Source organism: Homo sapiens, chromosome 20 (genome assembly GCF_000001405.40).
Source record: "Homo sapiens chromosome 20, GRCh38.p14 Primary Assembly".
NCBI classification, from domain to species: domain Eukaryota; kingdom Metazoa; phylum Chordata; class Mammalia; order Primates; family Hominidae; genus Homo; species Homo sapiens.
The window spans coordinates 29,741,174-29,748,830 of NC_000020.11; the positions used below are offsets into that span (position 1 = coordinate 29,741,174).

At 54.9% G+C, this 7,657-nt stretch overlaps 3 pseudogenes, besides 1 other annotated feature; 2 read left to right on the plus strand and 1 right to left on the minus strand.

Annotated features, from left to right (window-relative positions):
• Positions 1-7,657: part of a centromere (Linear centromere model derived predominantly from reads generated in PMID: 17803354. This region does not represent an actual centromere sequence, as long-range ordering of repeats and unmapped WGS contigs is not provided by the model. For details of model production, see http://arxiv.org/abs/1307.0035.) that runs on past both edges of the window.
• LOC110467522 (RNA, 5.8S ribosomal pseudogene) lies at positions 337-488 on the minus strand (annotated as a pseudogene).
• LOC107987278 (translation initiation factor IF-2-like) lies at positions 1,096-4,851 on the plus strand (annotated as a pseudogene).
• CDC27P3 (cell division cycle 27 pseudogene 3) lies at positions 5,008-6,133 on the plus strand (annotated as a pseudogene).

The following is a 7,657-nucleotide window of genomic DNA, read 5'->3' on the forward strand; positions in this document are numbered from 1 at the left end:
AGGCGCGAGGGAGCCCCGGAGGGAGGAACCAGGACCGCGGTGGTGGCCACGGGAACTCGGCCCCAGCCGGCTCTCTTCCCTCTGTTTTCGCGGGTGGCAGCGCCACCCTCTCTCGCTTCCTCACAGCTAGGAGCCCCCCTTCCCCATGCCACCCAATGCGTGACCACACAGGACCTGCGGGGGGAGGGAGAAGGGGCGGGCATGGCGGCAGAGGAGGGCGGACGTGGCCAGTCTGCACTTGAGGGGACGGAGGGCCCCAGCAGGCCATGCCAGGGAATCCCCAGCCTTGCACCCCGAGGAGCCCGGAGGCACCCCCGGGGACTATTGATCGGCAAGCGACGCTCAGACAGACATAGCCCTGGGAGGAACCCGGGCCACAAGTGCATTCGAAGTATGGATGATCAATGTGTCCTGCAATTCACATTAGTTATCACAGCTACCTGCGTTCTTCATCAACGCAGAAGCCCAATAATCCATGGCTAAAAGTCATACAAGGTGGATTTGGCGAGGGCGCTCCCAACACCGGGAGGCCCTACTGGCACAACAGGTCCCCCAGAGGGTTTACCTCAGGCCGGCCATTCAGACAGCAAGGGGACCAGACTCCAGAGAGGGGTCGGAAGGTTTCACAACACAGGGAGGAAGTGCCGACCACGGGGTGGCGAACGCTGACAGCACCCCATGGGCGCCCAGGGATTCCCGACCCCACAGCCCAGGGCAAAGGCCACACACACGGCACGCGCGCGATGGCACGACGGCCGCCGGTAAAGCCCCCACCGGCGTCAGCTGCGACACGCAAGTGCGGCGCGGCCCCGGCCGGCGGAGAGGATGGAGTCGGCGGGGGAGGTGAGAGAGGGGCGGGCCCCTCCCGAACGGACTCCCCCCCCGGCCCACCGCACCCGACCCACGGGCAGACGGGCGACCCCCCAAGGGGTCCTTAAACCTCCGCGCCAGAACGCGCTAGGTACCTGGAGGGCGGGGGCGGATGAGGAGGGGGACAGGCATCCGGCCCCCTACCCTCGAGACGCCCTAGCGGGAAGGCTGGGGAGAGCGAGCGGGCCAGGCCGGGCCCGGTGGCGCGGTGTGGCAGAGGCGAGGATGGTGGCAGCAGCAGCGATGGGAACTCGGCCGGCCCCAACGGGAGCCGGCGGGATGGGGCCGAGACGGCGGGACAGGGCGGGACGAAGGCTCCAGCGGGGAGGGCACCGAGACCCCCACCCCACCGGGACGCCGAGAACCATCCCCGAGCCCGCCGACACACACGTGGGGGCCATGGCAGGGGGCCGCTCCCCACTGCTCACCAGGCCAGCAAGCCATCCAGCCCGCTCCACGACAGGCACACACGGTTTCGTCCCCGCACGCGTGTCTCTCTCTCCCCCCTCTCTCCTTCCCGAGTTCTCCGGCTCTCAGGGCAGACGAGGCCCTGTAACAAACAAAGGGCACAACCCTGCCCACGCACGCGCTGCACCGGGAACACAGTCTGCCAAGGAGGAAGGACGCGGGGCGGCCCCGACGTTTGGGCAGCGAACGAGAGGCGGACCGCAGTGCCCGGGGTCTCACCGCCAGCGGCCTTCCAGCACCAAGGCGGCCCCGCGCGGCACCTGGAGCGGCCGACTGGCCTTTGGCGGGCCCGCGGCTCCAACACCGCCGCCGCCATCGCGGCCAGCGCCCGGAACCCTCTTCCCTGCGTGCGCTGCAGGCCGACCCCAAACCCTCCCGGCGCCCACCAGGCCCATACGGGGCGCCGCCAACCTGGTCCTGAAGGCGCGCTCCCGGGGACATGGACAACGGACCAACCAGTGGCTGGCGGTGGTGCCACACAAGGCGGAGCCAGGTTTGGTCCCAGACAGGGCCACCACAGCCTAAGCCGGTGAGCCGCTTGGGGAGAGAGGATCCGAGGGCGCGGAGGGGGGCACAGACAGGCAAGGCCAGGGACCGCGAGGGCAAGGGCACCCAGGAGCCGGCAGAGGGGCGGCTCGGGGAGAAACCTGAGGCACGGCCAGGCCACCAGGAAAACACGGCCACGGGATCCCACCGCCACAGACACTAGGGAGGTCCCCTGGCGCCCCGCCTAGGACTCCGGACGGCCCTCGGCACCCACCGAGACCCGCCTCACGAGCCCGGGTCCCGCCATCGGGACCCAGAAGCGACCTCAGCCACAAACCCAACTCCAGGGCCACGTTGCTCGTTTCTCTTCTATCCTCCAACCCGGTCAAGCTCCGGGAGACCGGCGCGCCCCCCACATGGGACACTTCCCATGGCCAGGAGGCCCAACGCCTTGCTACGCAAACGCGGTGGTCGGCACCGGTCGCTGCTCCTCAGGGGAGCGGGCGGAGAGCCGGCTCGCAGAGGAGCGGGTCACGCGCCGGACGGAACGCCGGGCACAACCACCGCTCGCGCAGCCTCCCAACCGCTAGGACGCCGGCTCGGCCCGGCGGGATCCTCCCCCGACTCGGAAGGGGGAGGCGCGGGCCACACTGTAGGTGACGAACGGCCCTCCGTCCCCACCGCTGAGGCCAGGGGAACCCTCGCTCTCCCCACCTCACCCCGTCCAGGGGGAAGCGGAGGAGGGTCCTCTGCAAGCGAGTCACTATGGCAGCGCTACCATAACGCAGAGAGAGGCGGCAGGCGGGGGGATCCGGTACCCCCAAAGGCACACCTTTCGGATCGCTAGAGAAGGCTTTCGCACCGAGGGTGATTCACACTCCCCACCCGCCAATCGCCCCTTGTCAGGCCTGCAGACGCGCTCAGGGACACCTGGGGAAGGGAGGGGGCCCGCGGTACCAGGAAAAATCTGCTTGCGGCAACTTTGAGCCTTTGCGGTCTGGGCGGAGGGCCTGGCCGCTGTGCGTGGGTTCAATCCCCCAAGTGCCCCTCCGTCCACCCGCCTGCTTTCTCCCAGGCAAAGCACCTCCAAGTAAACCCACACAAAACCTGTCGGAGGCAGAACGGTAGCCCCTCGGCGGCAGGCCGGCGCACGCGTCACTGCCCGAGCCCACCGCGGTCGCTCACACGGCTCGCGCGCACCCGCCAGAGGGGAGCACGGGACCTGCGCTTGCCAGACCAGGCGGCGCCCTTCCCCGCGTGAGAGGGGCGCGTCTCGCTCAACCGCCTCGACCCCCACACCAACGAGCTCCCTCAGGACCCACTCGCAGACATCGAAGTGGTGAACGGAGGAGGGGGAGCTGGGGGTGGGAACCACACACCACCGCTCGGCCTCTGGCACCTGAGTGACAAGCTGGCGGGGGAAAGGGGGGAGCCGGGCGTGGTAGGCTCACGCCTGTCATCCCTGCACTTTGGGAGGTGAGGGAAGGTGGATCCCTCGATCCAAGCCTTGGCAACATGGTGAAACCTCATCTCTAAAAAAAAATACAGAAACTAACTGGTTTCATAACCTGGACTCAAAGTTAATAAATAGATAAATAGACCAGGCGCGGTGGCTCACGCCTCTCATCCCAGCACTTTGGGAGGCCGAGGCGGGCAGATCACGGGGGTCAGGAGATCGAGACCATCCTGGCTACCACAATGAAACCCCGTCTCTACTCAAAATACAGAAAATTAGCCAGGCGCGTTGGTGGGTGCCTATAGTCCCAGCTACTTGGGAGGCTGCGACAAGAGAATGGCGTGAACCCGGGAGGCAGAGCTTGCAGTGAGCCGACATCACGCCACTGCACTCCAGTCTGGGCAACAGAGCGAGACTCCGTCTCAAAAAATAATAATGATAATAATAAATATATTAAAATAGAAAATTATAAAAAAACGTAGCTGGCCGGGCGCAATTGCTCACGCCTGTCATCCCAGCACTTTGGGAGGCCAAGGTGGGCAGATCACCTGAGGTGGCCAGTTCGAGATCCACCTGACCCACATAGAGAAATGCCGTCTCTACTAACAATACAAAATCAGCCAGGTGTGGTGACACATGCCTGTAATCCCAGCTACTCAGGAGGCTGAGGCAGGAGAATCGCTTGAATACGGGAGGTGGAGGTTGCGGTGAGCCAAGATGGTGCCATTGCACTCCAGTGTGGGCAACAAGAGTGAAACTCCGTCCAAAAAAAAAAAAAAAAAAATTAAGCCCTGTATTCTGTTATTTTTACTTCCTACCCTGAGAAGAACATAATACAACTGTTGTCTGTCTGCCTGCCTGCCTGCCTGCCTGCCTGTCTGCCTGTGACAGGGCCTCACTCTGTCTTTCGCCCAGACTGGAGTGCAGTGACACCATTATGGCTCACTCACTGCAGCCTCAACCTCCCCAGGGTTAGGCAATTCCTCAAGGGATCCTACGGCCTCGGCCTCCCAAAGTGTTGGGGTTACAGGCGTGAGCCACCATCACCCGGCCTGAGTTAATACATCTGGTCTCACTACGTCTTAACCACACACCCATGAAGAACTCAAGTCAAGAGAGAGTCGGTAAAAGACTCTCAGCATTCTCTCCTGAAAGCAGTGAGGTGGATGGCGGCCGTGTGTCCCGAGCTCCTGTGGTTTCAGGTGACCACGCGTAGAGGAGAGATTTCCAATGTTTCCAGAGAGGCGCGAGCCGCAGTCATTCGGGGCATCCGAGCACGAGATGGGGTTTCTGACAGCGACTTAAGGGCCAGGAAGGGCCAGAATCTGCCAAGGCCCATGTCCCAGGGTGGGGTCGATGGAACCCAAGGTAGAGGGAGTCGGCGGTCCGCAAGGAGAGAGCTCCAGCCCTTGGCCCCACTGTGCAGACCGAATCAGAAGGAAGAGAGTCCTTCATCCTACATGCCACATCCCTCCACTGAACTTGGGAGCAAATCCGTTTTCCAAACATGAGGTGACTCTCACTTTGCAATGGATCACAAGAGGCCGGGCTTTCCAGAGTCTGCAGGGTAAAGAAGTCATTCTGGCTCGGCCTCCCCCATCCCCTGGTAACTGGTGAGTTTAAATGAGGCCAGGCTGGCTGGGCCAGAGCTCCTACGGCGGGGAGGGGGGTTGGCAGGGTGGGGGGGTTGCCTGAGGCACTGCAGAAAGTGGGTCTGAGCCTCGAGGATGATGGTGCTGCAGGAACCCGTCCAGGCTGCTATATGGCAAGCACTAAACCACTATGCTTACCGAGATGAGGTTTTCCTCGCAGAACACCTTCATGCAGAAGTACACTCAGAAGAAGCCATGTTTTTACTGGCGACCTGTTCTTACCGCCCAGGAAAGGCCTATAAAGCATATAGACTCTTGAAAGGACACAGTTGTCCTACACCGCAATGAAAATACCTGCTTGCAAAATGTTGTGTTGATCTCAGCAAGCTTGCAGAAGGGGAACAATCTTATCTGGTGGAGTGTTTAATAAGCAGAAAAGTCATGATGATATTGTTACTGAGTTTGGTGATTCAGCTTGCTTTCCCCTTCCATTGTTGGGACATGTATATTGCAAGACAGATTGGCTTGCCAAAGGATCAGAATGTGACCGAAAGAGGCTTAGTTTAAAGCCTTTCCTCTGGTATCCCTTTGAATCATTATGTGAAATAGGTGAAAAGCCAGATCCTGACCAAACGTTTAAATTCACATCTTTACAGAACTTTAGCAACTGTCTGCCCAACTCTTGCACAACACAAGTACCTAATCATAGTTTATGTCACAGACAGCCTGAGACCATTCTTACGGAAACACCCCAGGACACAACTGAATTAAACAGATTGAATTTAGAATCTTCCAATTCAAAGTACTCCTTGAATACAGATTCCCCAGTGTCTTCTATTGATTCAGCGTAATTTCACCTGATACTGTCCCACTGGGAACAGGAACTTCCATATTATCTAAACAGGTTCAAAATAAACCAAAAACTGGTCGAAGTTTATTAGGAGGACCAGGAGATCTTAGTCCATTAACCCCAAGTTTTGGGATTTTGCCATTAGAAACCCCAAGTCCTGGAGATGGATCCTATTTACAAAACTACACTAATATACCTTCTGAAATTGAGGTGCCATCCACCGGAGCCCCTTCAAAAAAGTCTGTTGCCAGAATTGGCCAAACTGGAGCAAAGTCTGTCTTCTCACAGAGTGGAAATAGACGAGAGGTAACTCCAATTCTTGCACAAACAGAAAGTTCTGGTCCATAAATAAGTACAACACCTCAGGTATTGAGCCCCACTATGACATCTCCCCCAAATGCACTGCCTCGAAGAAATTCAAGACTCTTTACTAGTGACAGTTTCCCAACCAAGGAGAATAGGAAGAAATTAAAAATGAAGTTTCCACCTAAAATCTCAAACAGAAAAACAAAAAGTAAAACTAATAAAGGAGGAATAACTCAACCTAACATAAATGATGGCCTGGAAATTACAAAATTGGACTCTTCCATTATTTCAGAAGGGAAAATATCCACAATCACACCTCAGATTCAGGCTTTTAATCATAAAAAACAGCAGCAGAAGGCTTGATGAGCCTTTTTCATGAAAGGGTGAAAGGTTATTTAGCTTTGTGTTCATACCACTGCAAAGAAGCTATAAATATTTTGAGCCATCTACCTTCTCACCACTACAATACTGGTTGGGTACTGTGCCAAATTGGAAGGGTCTATTTTGAACTTTCAGAGTACATACAAGCTGAAAGAATATTCTCAGAGGTTAGAAGGACTGAGAATTATAGAGTCGAAGGCATGGAAATCTAGTCTACAACATTTTGGCATCTTCAAAAAGATGTTGTTCTTTCAGTTATGTCAAAAGACTTAACAGATGTGGATAAAAATTCACCAGAGGCCTGATGTGCTTCAGGGAACTGTTTCAGTTTGCAACGGGAACACGATATTGCAATTAAATTCTTCCAGAGAGCTATCCAAGTGGATCCAAATTATGCTTATGTCTATACTCTATTAGGGCGAGAGTTTGTCTTAACTGAAGAATTGGACAAAGTATTAGCTTGTTTTTGAAATGCTATCAGAGTCAATCCTAGACATTGTAATGCACGGTAAGTGGTAATGAAGTGTAAAGACAAAGTCTTGTTGATGGTGCTTGTAGTCACTAATTTTTCTTGTTAGATAGCTCTTTATTGTCATGAATTTGGTTACTAATACTTAGGCATGGTACATACTAGTAAATAACTTCAAACTAACATGTTTTTTTATGAAATGTATGTCTTTAACAAACTCTTCAGTTAACTAATGATAATAGAATACCAGATCCTTATACTCAACAGTTTCAGTCTTCTACCACACTTTTGCAGACACTGTAGTTGTGTTTTGTTTGTTTGTTTGCTTGTTTAGTTTTGTTACTTGATTTATTACTTTTTCTTCGAACACAGAAATGGTGATTGGGACAAAAAGTGCTTGGGAAATTGGAAAGGAATAGCATAATTCACTTATTGGATAATAGGAAAAAAACACTGAAAAAATTCACTAGTTGCTGCTTTTTGACAGTGTTCCAGTTTATTGAGTTACTATTAAGAACTTAGTATACCCTTTTATTTAGCAGTATCTCTGTTTTCCTTTTTTTACTTGTGTATAAGTAGACACATAGGAAATTACTATCCAGGTCATATTGTTATCAACTGAATAACATACGAAAAAGTTTGGTCCTACATCTGCCTCAACACCATACTTACTGTTGACATTTATTGTATTTTTCTGGACTGACTTAAAAGTTTAAATATGAAGAGAAGGCCAGGCATGGTGGTTCATGCCTCTCATCCCAGCACTTTGGGAGGCCGAG